At 36.8% G+C, this 16738-nt stretch overlaps 1 protein-coding gene across 26 annotated transcripts in view; it reads right to left on the bottom strand.

Moving 5' to 3' along the window:
* Positions 1-16738, bottom strand: part of TRMT11 (tRNA methyltransferase 11) — a 285804-nt gene that overhangs the window by 174308 nt on the left and 94758 nt on the right. Inside the window, exon 15 of one of the 26 annotated variants that reach the window (XR_007059322.1) lies at positions 11920-16066. The exons of the other annotated variants lie outside the window; for them this stretch is intronic. The gene's annotated coding sequence lies outside the window, so the exon portion shown is untranslated. Of the gene's footprint in view, positions 1-11919; positions 16067-16738 lie in introns of those variants that run through there. 26 annotated transcript variants of the gene reach the window in all.

Here is a 16738-nt window from a genome sequence, read left to right as displayed (position 1 = left end):
TCTTCCAGTTAGTGTTCTGGAAGAAATTTGGAATAATTCTTCAGGTCATTAAAATCCAGGGAAATTTTCAGGGAAATTATCCTACCCAGCACTTTGTAAAACCACTTACCATAAGAATAAACAAAAAGAGTATGGAGATGTTTCTTTAAAAGAATAAGAGGTATTTTTAAGTACTTTTCCCCACTTCCTCTTCCTACTCCCCACAACCCCAGCCCCTGCCCCAAGAACACACACATATTGAAATATAAAGATAGAAAGAGTTCAGGAATACAGGGCTTAAACAAATTTTAGTCTTCATTAGCCAACTAAATCTTTATAGGCAAAATAAGTAAAAATGAGATAAAATCTTGGTTGAAGTTCAGATTTTTTTTAATTTCAATTGATTAAACAGTTTGAGAACACGAGAATTAAAAAAAAAATTCCTGAACCATGCTTCAGACACTTTTAAAAATAAAGGAAAATTTCATGCTTGATATGCATGCAATAAAATAAAAATTGTGTCATGTTTCTCAGGCAAGCACCACTATATACTATTGCCCTAAGGAAAGAATAGCCAAAATGATGTAAAATGCTCCCTTTATTCATCAGCCTGGGACATTGAAAATGTATTCTTTGGAAGTTTGCCTTCCCTTGAGTATTATTTAAAATAATTACCATTTATTACTGTATGGTCTTCTTGATGTAAAATATAGGTCTTGTGATGTAGGCATTATTTATTGCTATGTTTTAGCAGTTAGTAGGTCTCCAACAATGCTGATAAACAGAGTGGCTGAGGCAGAAAGATTACCTTCCCAGGAAGGGAAGTCATTTTCTAATTGAAGTATTCTATTAGAACTCCTAAGTTCACAAACTTCTCTCCTAACAATACTATCAGAAAACTCCTCTATTTCATATTACCACCCTCAAATCATACATTTCGGGGGAAAATAGAAATGTTTGATATGTTAACATCAAAGTTATGCTGTTTGAAAGAAGAAAAGTCTGCAATCTAGAATAGTCTGATGAGACAAATAATGTTCCCTGTAATTACAAATGATTCCAGCCATTGACTGTGGTTATAAACCCCAAGCTTATATCTGCAGTAGTGACTCACTGCCTTAAATTCTGTTCTCCAAATTTTGGTCCTTCTCATTTCTGTTATAATGAGCTTCTTTCCTAAGGAAATTGTCCAAGAAAGTTGAATGAACTTAAATCAATTTCATATTAATAGATAATACAAAATATTAGCAAGAGACAGATTCCTGGTACAAGCCAAAAACTATTTATAGGAGAAATATGACTGTGAAATCATCCCTCAGTGAACAGTTACTGAGTTTCTACTACAGGTACAGGATCATTCTAGGGACTACGGGGGATACAAAGATTAAGAAGACTCATCCTGACTTACAGAGGCTTAAAGACAAGACTGCAATCAGTACCAGTGCCCTAATGCCCATGGTGAGCATGCTATCTAAAGCATTTGATTCTCATAAAAAAAAAAAAGCTAAAATCTAATTTATTTGAGCTTTTGAAATTAGAGGTAGCATGACCTAATGATGTAAGCAATGGGCTAGGATTAAAAGAACCTGGAGTCCAACTTCAATCTGCTGCTGAGAGTTAGAGACAAGCTGGTTACAGAAGTAGAAAACACCACAGAGGGTGACCTATGATCTACAGAATGGTCTTCCATTGTGCAGATCCAGAAAATCAAGTTTCCTGGAGATACCCATAGCTGATCAGATCCCAGAGAAGCCTGAAGCTACAAAATTTACAACAGAATGAATGATAAACTAGAGCACCACTTTACCAATCAGGTTAATTGCCAATGCACCAGGAATTCTATGGATCCACTGGCCCTAATGAAAGGCTATACATAAAACCCAAACCTCTACTCTTCCATCAAGTTACCTTCCAAGAAAAACAGAATTCTCCTACTGGTTGGACACACCAAACTCTTCTCCCTCTTATGAGAAGAAATGAAATTAGCTCTTCATTTTCTGCAGAACAAAACCCAAAAACCTTGGCCTGGCAATCAAAGTCTGCCAGTGTCGGACCATGTGACTCCAGTGTTACCTCTTTTCTTTCTCCTATCCCTGCTCCTAGGCCCCCAGAATCCAAGCTCCAATCACACAAAACCTGGCATTCTTTCTCAATAAGCTATGCTTTCTCATGCCTCTATGCCTTAGAAATGTTTGATCCCACTTAAAAAGCTCTCTCCTTCTCTCTTATACTGTGAGAGTCAGATTGTCAGCCCCCAGGTAAAAAATGTTCTGATTACTTTGTCTCCCACTTAGACCTGGGCCCAGCATAGTTAGTTGCTTCCATTACATTCTGTTCATACCTTTATTATAATAGGTATCTCATTTTTATATGTTTGGTTTCTCTCCCCTCCTCCAACCCAAGTAGACCACAAACCCCACAAGGACGAGGACCACATTTCTCATATTTGAATGTATGAAGCCTAGCATTTGGCAGACTCAAGAAATGTTTGCTGACTGAATAACGTGATCTACATTGAAAGCCAAATTGGTATCAGAAGGTTATACTGCAAAGAAAGAAACAAAGCAAGGGTGTTAAATATTCCCTGTGAGCAGGTTATCCAGCAATTCTAGCCTATGCAATCAACTCCATCCTAGGGCAGGATCTCCCACAAGGACTATGGTGGCTCCCTCTCCCTTAGACTACATTTAAAACCCTGACAGATTCCTACAAATAATTCAACTGTTCATCAATCATCAGTAGGCAATATAGCTGAGGAGATTATTTTTCAGATCTGTACTCCTCAGGTTACCTGTCTCCTTGGGGAAGATTGGTTGCTTAAATTATCACTTAGAAAGACCATTCTTATCCATTGTGTGTTGATTATTACTAGTATCCATTTCCAAACATTCCTGGTATCCAGCCATCTCAAGTATGTTGTCCTTAAATTCTAGAGATGCATGCTATTACAAGGTCAGCGCCAGACCTAATGAAAAATGTGACCTTGAAGAAATAATCTCTGAGTTTCATAGTTCGTCTTAATGTAGAATGAAAACAATGAACATTTTAGAAGCATCATACTTGAAAGTTGAAAGTGAGGCTATAAGGTAGTCACTAGAATCTAGATCTGATTCTCAAGCCGGCTTCTTTCATTATTTCAAAAAGCAGATCTCCATCTGCCTTACAAAATGATTGTGAAGGTAAAATAAGGTAGTATGTGTTGGTAGAGTTAACACATATGAGAGTTCTTTGAAAAATCTCCACATAATATACTTGATTAATTAGGTAGAAAATAGACCATAGTTAATATGACCTGCAGTGTTTGTCCCAAGAATGTTCCTGAACATTCAGCTCACACATCAGTAATTAAGAGCTACAAAAAGGAACCATTGTCTTGCTTCTTTCTACATTCAAACTCAGGCCAGGCCTAGACGAAATCCTTGGCATTCTCTATGCCCGCCAACCAGGAAATAGTCTTGCCTCTGAGACTAAAGGAAATGTGGAAATGTGTGCCTATTGTGGCCTAAGGTTTGGGCAGAAAGTCTGACGAAACAAGCCAAAGGTTTTTTCTTTCTCTATGGCAAGATCAAGAATGGCAAATTCAGGTGACCAGGGCCGCAAATATTTAAAGCTCCTTAAGCCTGTGTCAACACTGACACAAAAATTTGCCAATTATATATGTATGATGGTGCCATGTGACATTGTAGCAATTTTAAATGAGAAAATTCTTTTTCTAAAAGAACACACTTTTCCATCCTATTGCTGAATATATGTTCTTTGATAGAGTTCTTAGCTCCATGCAGGATTTAAGGATACTACCATGCTCTAAGTGACACATGAGATTTTGTCACTGTGGAAAGCACACAAAATTCAATAGCTATAGTTAGGAGAATACACCCCAGTCATTTCATCAAAAAAGAGGAGTCAGAGCCAACAGCAATAAGATGGGTCTAAGTTTGGGGTGTGTGTGTGTGTGTGTGTGTGTATCACATTTTCTATTACACTGCTTGGCTTAGATAATCATGAATTAAGGACCAACTGCTCAAGAACGCATTACTCTGAAAGTCAGCTGAAAGACATGGTTCCATGAAGCATTCAGTTCCCTTGCCACTCACATTATACTGTGGAAAAGCTCTGAAGCTGAGTAAAGCATTTTGTTAAGTCTTTACTCATTCAGGAAATTTGCAATTATTCATTGCTAGTATTTAGAAATGGAATTTATTTTTATAGGCTAATCTTATTCCCTATGAAGTTGCTAAATTAACTTACTAGTTTTAGAGTGTATACATGTACTATAAGCCTCAAGCTACTTAAGTGCCTGATTAACTGCACTCTCCCACTTACTGTGTTAATTTTATAACACTCTAAGGAGTTAATCTTATTTTCTATTTCTAAGCTCTTGAGCAAGTTCCAGCACCTAATTGATCCTCCAGGACTGGGGGAAAATATATATATATATATATATATATATATATATATATATATATATATACATACATATCCTGTTACCTACACTAGAGTACCAAATAAGACAATTTGAAGATTGAAGCAGCATCACCCCAGTTTTTCTCAAACACTATTATAATCATAATAAGAAAGCAGTTACATGTCCCTTCTGCTTGTCTCCAAACTTCTCATCTCACATACTTACATTGGAATTAATTATTGTTATAGTCAATTTACCTTAAAATTTCAAATACGTAGAAACCGGAGAGTATGAAATGAGGAAAGAAATCTTGTAGTGCCACAGGAAGAGCCAATAGTGTTTACTTCTGTCTCTCAGGTGTCTGAAGTTCATATTAAGCAATGTGATAGAGTTAATATGCTAAGTTAAGCTACCAATTTGTTATTTGTTTTTATTTTACCCAGATAACTCAGATTTATGTCTAACCAAATGTGAGGATAACTTATAAACTGCCTAAATTATGTTTGGACTTGGAAGGAAATAATTTAATACTTTCTCCAAAAAGACTCCCTCTTTCCATCTCCATTATGTAAGTAATGTGAGAAATATTTCATAAATAATAAACAGTTCATGAGGCAGATTAAAATATTACATTCCTTTTCCCACAAATTCCAGCACTTAAGAACTTTGAACAAGGGATCCAGAGTAGATTGAAATAAGCTAAGAATTCTTGCCCAGTTTCTAGAACTGTGTCATTTGTCTCCATCAAGATAAGCAGAACTCACTTTCTGAGTCACAGATTAAAAGTATATCACATTTACTTATTGGTGATAATTCCATATCCAATTGATCAGCCAGCAAATAATCTTTGGAAACAGAAACACTGGATTGGTAAAAATTCCTGACATTTCTAGAAATCACCAAGCCAAATGCAGAAGTTGCAATTGCCATGGATTCCAAATATCATAACAAAAGTAAAGAAATAAAGAAACAGACCAATCACCAAGAAGAACAAAAAGCTCAGGTTGTATTCATTGTGTTCTCTAGTTCGTCTATCTAACAAAGTTAGAAAACCAGATGATACGGTTTGGCTGTGTCCCAAACTCAAACCCAAATCTCATCTTGAATTGTAGCTCCCATAATTCCCACGTGTTGTGGGAGGGCCCTGTTGGGAGATAATTGAATCATGGGGGCGGTTTCCCCCATACTGTTCTCATGGTAGTGCATATGTCTCATGAGATCTGATGGTTTTCTAAGGGGTTTTCCTTTTCACTTGGCTCTCATTCTCTCTCTTGCCTGCCACCATGTAAGATAGGCCTTTCTCCTTCCACCATGACTGTAAGACCTCCCCAGCCATGTGGAACTGTGAGTCCATTAAACATCTTTTTCTTTATAAATTACCCATTCTTGGGTAGGTCTTTATCAGCAGCATGAAAATGAACTAATACACCAGGTGTGGTAGTTGAATTAAAATTAAAACTAAATCTACACAGAGAATTCAACCACTATAAGTCATCGTAATTAAACACACCAAATGAAGTTATTACAAGACTACTTTAAATCTGAATCATCTGAATAACTACCTTAACTGGCCGTTTTATATTTCTCGAACAGCTCCTTAAATTTTAAAATCATATGATTACATGCAACTTAAATGTTTCTTAGGACTCGTAGACGTAGGTGATGAGTTATTTTTAGCACCTCAATCCTAAATCATTTAAACACATGGGATATATATTAACATTTTAGGAAGTCAGAATTTGAGAAAACTGAAAAGATCTCAAGAAATTGAATGAATTTCCATGTGGCGATTTTACGGCCAGAAAAGACTAAAGGAAAGCAATCAATGTGTCATCAAGCTGCACGGCATTCTTTAGACTGAGAGATAGCTGCTGGAGTTTTACTATTTCAATGTCAAAGAATGTAACTAGTGCTCCTTAGGCTTCTATGCAAACAATAGAGTTGCCATGAGAGACATCAGGCCTTTCCTGTTGAGCATCAGCACAAAGGACCTAGCACAAAGCCAGACAAATAGGGTGTGACCGAGTGCACCCAAGACTGTTAAAAGAGAAACTTTGGACAAATTTAACGTAACTGAGTTTAAGAGAGCAAAGAGTGATTCGCAAATGGGGCAGCCACCTCCCCCAACACAACCAGAACAGGTTTAGAGAGACTCTGGCACTGCAACTTGGTGGAAGATTTATGGACCGAAAAAGGAGTGATGTACAGAAAACAGAAGTGAAGTACAGAAACAGCTGGATTGGCTACAGCTCGACATTTGCCTTATTTGAACACCATTTAAACAGTTGTCCACCTGTGAGTGGCGAAAAGTCGGTGATTGGTACGCGTAGGTTACGGCCTGCTTATACTTCCAGTTAGGTTACACTTCACTACTTATGAAGTAACGTTTAAGCTGAACTTAAAATATGTAAGAAGGCAGCTCTAAGCTAAATTTTTTTTTTTTTTTTTGAGATGGAGTCTCGCTCTGTCACCCAGGCTGGAGTGCAGTGGCGCGATCTCGGCTCACTGCAACCTCCACCTCCCTCAGCCACACCCCCTGCCAACCACCCACGTAGCTGGGATTACAGGCGCCTGCCACCGCACCCTGCTAATTTTTGTATTTTTAGTAGAGACTGGGTTTCGCCATGTTGACCAGGTGGTCTCGAACGCCTGACCTCAAGTTATCCGCAAGCCTTTGCCTCCCAAAGTGCTGGGATTACAGGTGTGAGCTATCGCACCCGGCCTAGGCTAAATTTAATTTAACAAGATGCCCCAAGTCTCTCTTCTTGGTAAGAGAGAGGACATCTGTTTCAAAGAAAAGCTTTGAAGAAAGAGGCTGGATTCAGATACTGTTTCCCATATTAACTAACACCCATACCGCACGTGTATGGATTGAGATTCTCTCTCAAAGTGGTTATTTCAGTCATGGAAATGCCGCAAATGAATGTCAGAATGAACCAGTCTTATGTATTAGAGCAAACATGTTCTAAGGATGTCTTGGTGTATTAAATTTTAGTATTACATAGAATCTCAAATTTTCAAGAGAGAGAAATGACTCCATGAGGCCAAGATTTACATTCATACACTCCCACATACATAAAACTGCTACCAATGGCACTGTAAATCAACTAATTGCTTCCAGAGAAGGCTTTGTCTATGTTCAATATTAAATTGTTTACTTGTATGTGTGTACATATACTTCCCTTAAAAAAATTTAGGAGGGTGACAGGTTTTCAAATGTAGTAGAAATCTAATCAGATCAGGGTGAAGGCTTTTCACAACTTTCACAGCATGGTCTGTTAGGGAAATTGCAATTTGTCTAAGTCATACTTCACTCAAAAGTTCATCCAACTGTCTATTGAACGTATACTCTATGCTCAGCACTGGGGATACAAGGATCAAAAAACAGTCCTGCACCAAAGAGGCTTCACTCTTCATCAGACAGACATATGAGAAAGAGTTGCCATGAGATCTGTGAAAACTGTAAAAGAGCAAGTGATAAGGTACAAACTGAGATAGGGGTGCAAAGAAAAGTTTAGGCTCCCAGGGCAGGGGTGAAAAGAATTCAATAAGGGAAAGATGTCTGAGCGTCTTGGAGGACTGGCTGGCATTTGACACACAGACATGGCCAAGGGGAGGAAGGATACATGGCCAGGTGGAGCAGACAACATGTGCACATCACAGAGGCATGAAATGGCATGTTCAAGAACCAGGAGTTGAACTGTCATTGGATTTAAGCTGAAGGTAGTTGTATTAATGTAGTCTATAATTTCCTTATAAATAAACTGTGCATTAGCACCACATTGCTGCTCTTTCTCATCTTTTAACATTGGAAAAAAATCCCATGAATTTTCTGTGAAATTTTACAAGATCATCCAAAACACTTTCTAGTGGAAAGTTACAAACACAATTACAGTAGACATAAATTCCTAATGACTTACAGTTGAACTTAAATTAAGAAGAAAACCTCTACCATTTATTTTTTTTCCATCACCCTTGGATTTCAGGTTAAGCATTTCATTCAGTTCTTCATTCAGCAGGACGAGGTGGCAGAAGTTATTACTGGGAGCACAGTGCAGAGGACAAGAACTTTGCAACTGAACAGACCGGAGTTTGAATCCTGCCTTTGTTTCTCAGTAACCATGTGACCCGGGGTAAGTTTCTTAACTACTCCAGCCTCAGTTTCCTTGTGTGTATAACAGGTGTTATACTAGCACATGATTCAAATAAATAGTCTGATAATTAAATAACATTACATGTAGGGTGGGTGCGGCGGCTCACTCCTGTAATCCCAGCACTTTGGGAGGCCGAGACAGGCGGATCCCGAGGTCAGGAGTTCAAGACCAGCCTGGCCAACATGGTGAAAACCTGTCTCTACTGAAAATGCAAAAATTTGCTGGGCACGGTGGCAGGCGCCTGTAATCCCAGCTACTCAGGAGGCTGAGGCAGGAGAATTACTCAAACCCGGGAGATGGAAGTTGCAGTGAGCCAAGATCGCGCCACTGCACTCCAGCCTGGGTGACAGAGCAAGACTCCATCTTGGGAAAAAAAAAAAAAGATTACATGTAAAGAGCTTTGCAGAGAGTATAATATGTAGTGAGAGCTCAATAAGTAATTTTAAAATTACAAAATAAGACAAGGTGATATTGGTCTGTAAATAAATACAACCAAAACTAGCAATTTATGCAATTATCCAAATAATTGAGAACTAATTCTCATTCTTGAATTAGCTAGCTAATTTGAAATAACTAGCTATTTTAGATATAAAAAGTGATGTAGGTTTCAGATGAAAACAGTTTGGGATTTGATTTCTCTAGCAATATAAGTCAATTCTCTTTTTCCCTTTAAGTATATAAAATCAATCTAAATGTCTGTTCTCACCAAACCCCCTACATTTCTTGGACTTTGGTTCTCCCATTTTACTCTCTAATTAAAAGATGCTCATACTGTTTACTGTTCACTATAAAGAGATGTCTAGAAGGAAAGTACCTACACACAAAGTGGACATTTGGATATTTGAGAAGCCTAAAAGTTCATATATAGCTTTGCACACTTAAATTACTGGGCAGTTGATAGAAACCCACAGGAATAGTTACCAAGGTAATCTTGAATAGATTTGCCCTGGTGTTCAATAAATGCTACTGATTGACTCACTTATCAGTTGGTATAGTCCAGTGCTTTTCAACTCCGTCTGCATGTTAGAATCATCTGGGATCTTTTAAAACTCCTTACACCTGCTGGTAGATTGGTCTAAGTAGCGGCCTTACCATCTGTATTTTTTTTAGTTCTCCAGGTGACTCAAATGTACATCCAGAGTTGAAAACCACTGGTGTGGCATAAGCTTATAATTTGAAAAAGGAAAAAAGAAAATACTTGTTATATACAGGGATGATGAAGACGGTCACAGTCTGATTTTTGTTTCCATTAATAGTTTTGAAAGAGGAAAATAATCTGTCATAAAATTTAATTCAATTTAACTTTAATGCTTACTGAGTGCTTACTATATACTATAGAGAGTATATATACTATATATAGAGAGAGTATATATACTATATAGACTATGTACTATATACACTATATACTAATATTGCACATTGTGCTAATAATGGTCATTAAATAATTTTTTAAAGTGAATAACAGAGTTATTGGCAGAGGGAATAATCTAATTAGAGAGGCAATGCATACACACAAAAACATCATTAGAGATAACTATAACAATAATATGAACAATTAAATAGTCTGATTCCAAAGCTCTTAAGGAGGTCAGGAGAAATGGCCAAAGTGGTCAGAATCTCTGGGGAAGCTGGAAGCTTGGGAAAACTAAGGTCTTGAAGTGGTAGGATTTGCAGAAACAGAGAGAAAAGAGGAAGAAACTTCAGCATTTCTTTTGGGATGTGTAATACGTTGGGAAGAATTCAGTTTTCAAGTTGTTTTTCTAACTGAGCCTTATTTGTGGCTACCTAGTTTAAAAGCAAGAACAGCCTGGCCCTGCCTCCTACAAGGCTCTCCTTTCTTCATAATTCATTGCCTGTGTGGCACGTGAACAAACACACACCATGATAAAATGACAGCCTCTTCCTGCAAAGGAAAAGTTTCTGAGATCAGCTTATGGAGAAAAACAAAAACAAAGAAGCAATCCTATAGAAATCAAATATTTTTAAAACTTGAATTTGTTTCATTTTCACTCATTGTTCAAGTGGGCTTCTTGACATTTTATTTTCTTGGCTAATGTTCTTTAGTTTACCATTTGTCTTCATCCTTTGATTTGACTGTGCCCTCCCTTTAAAGTGTTGGCAGTACTTACTTTAAAGTAGGTTTTAATCTTGGTTTAGAATTTTTTTTCTTTAATTTGCAATTTGTGGTTGGGAAATGATCTGCTTTTTGTTTCAGGTTGTTTAATATTTTCCAATATAATGTTCTTCCTGCACTCCAGTGGGTTCATTTGCAAAACATTTAATGTCATTTGTGTCTTTGAAGAACAGTGTATTCGGTTAGAACAAAAGCGAGCTTCTGCATAGAGCTTATGATGGTTTATAATTGGTAAACTATTAATTTGACCACGTTTGTGAACTAATAAAGGGAGTAGGAAACTCTTAGATATTTACTCTTTTTCTTGTATTCATTAATTTATTCATTCAACAGCTCCTGCCTCTAAATAACTTATAATTCTTTGGAGGATTGGAAAGCAGTAGAAAAATATAAAAGAGAACCAGAACACAATATGAATAATACCATGATAAAGGTATGCACAGGGAGCTATGGGGAGGCCAGAGAGGAAACCCTTCTCAGAGTGGTGCCCCCACTATAGTCAAAGCAAAAGGTTATAGCTGAACAAGTAAAAGAGAAAAGATCACCACAGGCCTTCAGAGGAAGAAATATATACAAATACTTAAAGTCACGTGATGTAATGAAACTTAGAGAATAGAGGAAGTGATCAAGATAAGACAAAGAAGTGAACAGGAATCAAGTATGAAAGACCTAGTATGCAATGCCAAAGATCATGAACTTAACTCTGTAACAACATGGAATTGCTGAAGTACTGTAGGCAGGGAAATGCACGATCTGACTTACCTAGGTTGTGATTTGGAAAATGGACTGAAGGCAGGGAGACGGGATGAGGTAGACACAGCAATCTGCTTGAGAAATAATGAAACTATGAACCATAGTAGTAGAAATTCAAATGTAGAAAAAGGGATGAATTTGAGAGGCAGTAGGAGGTAGAACTGACAAAATTTGGTGAATGACTTGATAAGGATAGGTATGGGAATGGAGAAAGGGCAATCAAGAATGTTATCTCGGTTTCTAGCTCGGGACACTGGATGGATGTGATGCCTGTAACTAATCTATCCACTCTTACACTCATTGTGGCTTCAATAGATTTTGCTAGGAACTAAGTGAAACAAATATGTTTAGGTAATAATGGATGTTTAAGTAATTCATTCATGATCTGATGTATTAAACCGGGCAAATTTTCATTCACACTTTTATCTAGATAATATCTGAATTGAGTCGTGCTTCCTTTTAATCTGTTAGTTTAAAGTAAATCAGCCTAAGAATTAGAGACTAGAAAATGCATCCTTTTAATATGAAGCATCTAAGGACATTTTCCTCCAACTGTTAAAACCATAGACCTCTGATACCACTTCTCATTCATTTGTTTTGTGTTTTGTTTTGTTTTGTTTGTGTCATTTTTGTTGTTTTTAGGAAGATTTTACTTTTTAGAGTAGCAGTAGGTTGAGAGGAAGTTACAGACCACACATGCATCATCTCCACTGTCATCAATATTCTACAAGTGATACATCTGTTACAATTAATGAAACTACATTGACACATCATCGCCCAAAGTACATATTTCTTTAGGATTCAATTCTGATGTACAGAGTGTTTGGACAAACGTATACTGACATATATCTATCATGATAGTATCATACAGAGTATGTTTACTTCCCTCAATCATCCATTTGTTTTAACCTCTGAGTCTAGAAAAGAGACAACAGGCAGGCATCACCTTGAACTCAGACAGGATGTCAACTGACTGTTGAATTCCACTGTGCCAAGGATTTGCCTATTGCAGCTTACTGACACTGCAGGTCTTCATGAGTACATGGAAGACATTAAGGCACGATCAGGGCCGGAGGAAACAATTTTTCTCATGTTAAATATGTTATGCCACCTCACATAGCAAACATTTTTCTAATGTTTGTTATGTTCAGAAGTTAAAGGAATTTGAAACAGCAAGAGACCAAAAGAAAATGGGAAAAAGGCCTCCTATGAAATTAGAATAGGTTCATTCCCTAAATAACTAATGATCTAGAGTACTGCCTGGCACATGTTAACTAATTCTATATGTCAGAAACCAAGTCAGATCCCTGCCCTAGCAGAATGTACAGGCTAGTAAAAAAGATGAACATTTTTAGGGGAATAATTTTTTTCAGCTTTACTGAGGTATAATTGACAAATTAAAGTTATATATGTTCAAGGTGTACAACATGATGTTTTGATATTTGTGTACACTGGGAAATGATTACCACAATCAAGCTAATTAGCATACCCATCACCTCACATAGTTACCATTTTGTTAGGGAGGAGCAAGAACACTTAAGATCTACTCTCAGTAAATTTCACATAGCAGAACATCATTATTATTAACTATAGTCATCATGCTGTACCTCAGGTCTCCAGAACTTATTTACCTTTTAAGCAAAAGTGTGTGCCTTTTGGCTAGCATCTCTGCATTTCTCCCACCACTCAATTTCTGGTAACCACCCTTCTACTCTCTGTTTCTATGAGTTTGACCCTTTTAGACTCATAGAGATCATGCAATGTTTGTCTTTCTGTGTCTGGCTTGTTGCATTTAGCACAATATCCTCCAGGTTCATCCATGTTGCCACAACTGGTAGGATTTTCTTCTTAAGGCTGAAACAAAATTACTCTTATTTTACACCATATACAAAAGTCAACTCAAAATGTGTAAAAGACCTAAATATAAGATTATGTTTTCTTAGAAGAGAGGAAAAGCTCTTGGACATTGGCCTTGGCAATGATTTTTTTGGTATCATACCAAAAGCTCAGGCCACAAAGCAAAATACATAAATGAGACTACATCAAACCAAACAGCTCTGCACAGTAAAGGAAACAACCAACAAAATGAAACAGTAGCCTATGGATTGGAATATATCTGATAAGGGGTTAATATTCCAAAATTTATAAAGAACTCATACAACTCAAGAGTGAAAAAACAAATCACCTGATTATAAAATGGGCAAAAGACATTTTTCCAAAGAAGACATAAAAATAGCCAATGGGTGTATGAAAAGGTGCTCAACATCATTACTCACCAAGGATATGCAAATCAAAACCACCATGAGATACCACCTTCCACTGTTATGATGGCTGGTATCAAACGGTCAGAAGATAACAAATGTTGGTGAGGGTTTGGAAAAAAGGGAACTCTTATACACTGTTGATGGGAATGTAGATTGGTACAGTCATTATGGAAAACAGTATGGAGACTTCTAAAGAAATTAAAATTAAAACTACTATATGACCCAGCAATCTATTTTCTAGGCATGTAGCCAAAGGAAATAAAATCACCACCTTGTAAAGATACCTGCACTCCTGTATTCATTGCAGCATTATTCACAAGAGCTAAGATATGGAAACAACCTAAGTATCTGTCAATGGACAAATGGAAAAAGAAACTGTGGTGCATATATACAATGGAATATTAGTCAGTCCTAAAAAAGAATGAGATCTTGCCATTTGCCACAATATGCATCAGACTGGAGAACATTATGAGACACAGAAAATAATTTCTCTTATATGTGCAATATTTTTAAAATCAAATATACAGAAAGAGAGAGCAAAATAGTGTTTACCAGTGATTGGGAGGGAAGGAAATAGGGAGATGTAATTCAGAGGATACAGAGTAGCAGATATGTATGACGAATAAGTCTAGTGATCTAATGTACGACATGAGGACTTTATGTAATAAAATTGTTCTGTATGTGAAACTCATGCTGAGTAGCTTTAGCTGTTCTTGCCACAAAAACAAAAACAAAAATGGCAAAGTGTGTGAGCTGATGTATATGCTAATTTGCTTCACTATAATAATCTGTTTACTATCTATATGTATCCCATAACATCATGTTGTATACCTTACATATGCACAATATAATGTATTTATAATAAATACACTTAACCAATAATGAAAGTTTGCTGAAAATTCAGAAAAGGAAGGTATGGAATACTATGGAAGTAAATAGCAGATTACCTAACTGAAGGGATCAAACCTAGTGCAAAGAGTCATAGATCTTCCAGAGCAAAAGATATTAATGCTTAGGCTTAGGTACATTGGGGTCAGGGAAATGAACAGTACTCCAGGCAGAAAGAAGGGTTAGAGACTACTGTTGGTAAACTCAATGATGGCACTTCAGGTTGCCTCATAGAGAGAAACCATGATGGGACACCAGTTTGTCAGGGACCGAAAGAATGTCAGAAAAGTGAAACTCTCCAAATAAGCTGAAGCTTCCAGCAAACAATCATGGTTAAAAACAAGAAGAGGTTTTAATATACCCATTAGCCATTTTTATGTCTTCTTTGGAAAAATATCTATTCAAGTCTTTTGCCCATTTTATAATCAGGTGATTTGTTTCTTCACTCTTGAGTTGTATGAGTTCTTTATAAATTTTGGATATTAACCCCTTATGAGATATGTGGTTTGCAAATATTTTTTTCTCATCTGTAGGCTGCTGTTTCATGTTGCTTATTGTTTCCTTGTTAACCACTACTTTAACCACTTCTTATTTTTAACTATAATTTTTCAGTGACGCTTATTGTATTAGGGTGAATCTTTGTACCTGCTTCTTTATCTGTTGAAAACAATGACCTTTGAATTAAAAGCTAGAGAACAATTTAAATAGGACATAAAATTCCAAAATGGCAAAAAAATAGAATAAAATAAAGTCCCTTTTATAAATTTGATTAAGTTTCAAGGCTCTATGAGTCCCCATTATACATTTGATAAAGTTTCCTGGCTCAAAACTAGAACACTGAGAAACCTGACATAAAGTAGATCACAATTTGATTATAAATCATTTTAGAGCATAGAGGATATGCCCTAAGACTAATTTTCAATGTGAAAAAGAAACTATAAAAAGTAAACATGATAATGATTTGGGACAAGATTCTGCAAGGTGGCAACCAAGTCTTCCAACAAGAGAACACAAAGTGAATGGTCCATTGCTATTACATTATTACACATGTATATTATAGTGCACAATTGATATTACATTGTAATATATAATATTAGTATTTTAATAAAATACACAATATATTGATAATATAATACAGTATATTACATTACAGCAATATTATATATTCTATTAACCAGGGTTCAAAGAAACAGAAACAATAGGACATACATATTATCAGAGTCACCCCTAAGGCTGTAACAATGGAGCTGTCCACTTTCGGTGGTATCGGCATAATATGCAAGACCGTCTCTAAACTAGGCTCAAGATCTGTCATTTAATTGATTGTAAAGAATGCCACTTGAAGATAGATTGCACTGTCCACACTCAACCTTATGGCTAGGTGCATCAGACAACGCTGAATTCATAATGGGAAGCTCACATCACATAGTATCTTGGTGTCCCATGGTTAGGCATTTAGTCTTTGGGTGGTCCAGTAGCAAGCCAGAAACTGTTTTGAAAAGGAAAATTATTACTTGAAGAAGAGAGCACAGATTAGTTCCAAAACCCTACAGATCTGCATTATGATTCTCCTTTCGGTACTTGCCAGAAGCTCCAAACAGCATCCCTATTTGCTATGCACATATTATCACTGGATCTGCTGGAACATAAGGCCCAGGTGTTAGGGCAGCAGTCACTGAAGCTGGAATTGCTGCAGGGCCCCCTCTCTCTCTGGTCCACAATCAAAACTGGCAGCCTATTGGGTAACTCAGTAAATAGGTGGGAGTAGTATACTCAAATGTAGTATATGTGACCTCCAAAAAAATTGTTTTAACTGCTTACAAAGCATTTTACCTCTTTATTCATGGTAGATGGTGTTAGATCCAGAAACTTATCCCCTTACTCCAGACCACTGAGTCCCCAGAACCTCACTGAAGGCCCCTGAATTTTTGTAGGGTTTATGTCCCACTCTCTAGTTTACATATGTCTTACTAAGGCATCTGATGCACTACTTTCTGCTTATTAGAGCCAGTCAATATCGTAATGTAGAAGACCAGTGTCCCCTACATTTTTGTGCAATGTCAAGCTAATCAATTTCTCTGTGGACTGTATAATAGAAGAAAGAATTGACATAGCTCTGACTCAAGAGCGTGAAGTCTACTCTTGGCTGTGCCAGATAAAA

Source organism: Homo sapiens, chromosome 6 (genome assembly GCF_000001405.40).
Source record: "Homo sapiens chromosome 6, GRCh38.p14 Primary Assembly".
Taxonomy (NCBI): domain Eukaryota; kingdom Metazoa; phylum Chordata; class Mammalia; order Primates; family Hominidae; genus Homo; species Homo sapiens.
The sequence above is the reverse complement of the archived record's forward strand: the minus strand, read 5'-3'. Positions and strand labels throughout refer to the sequence as shown.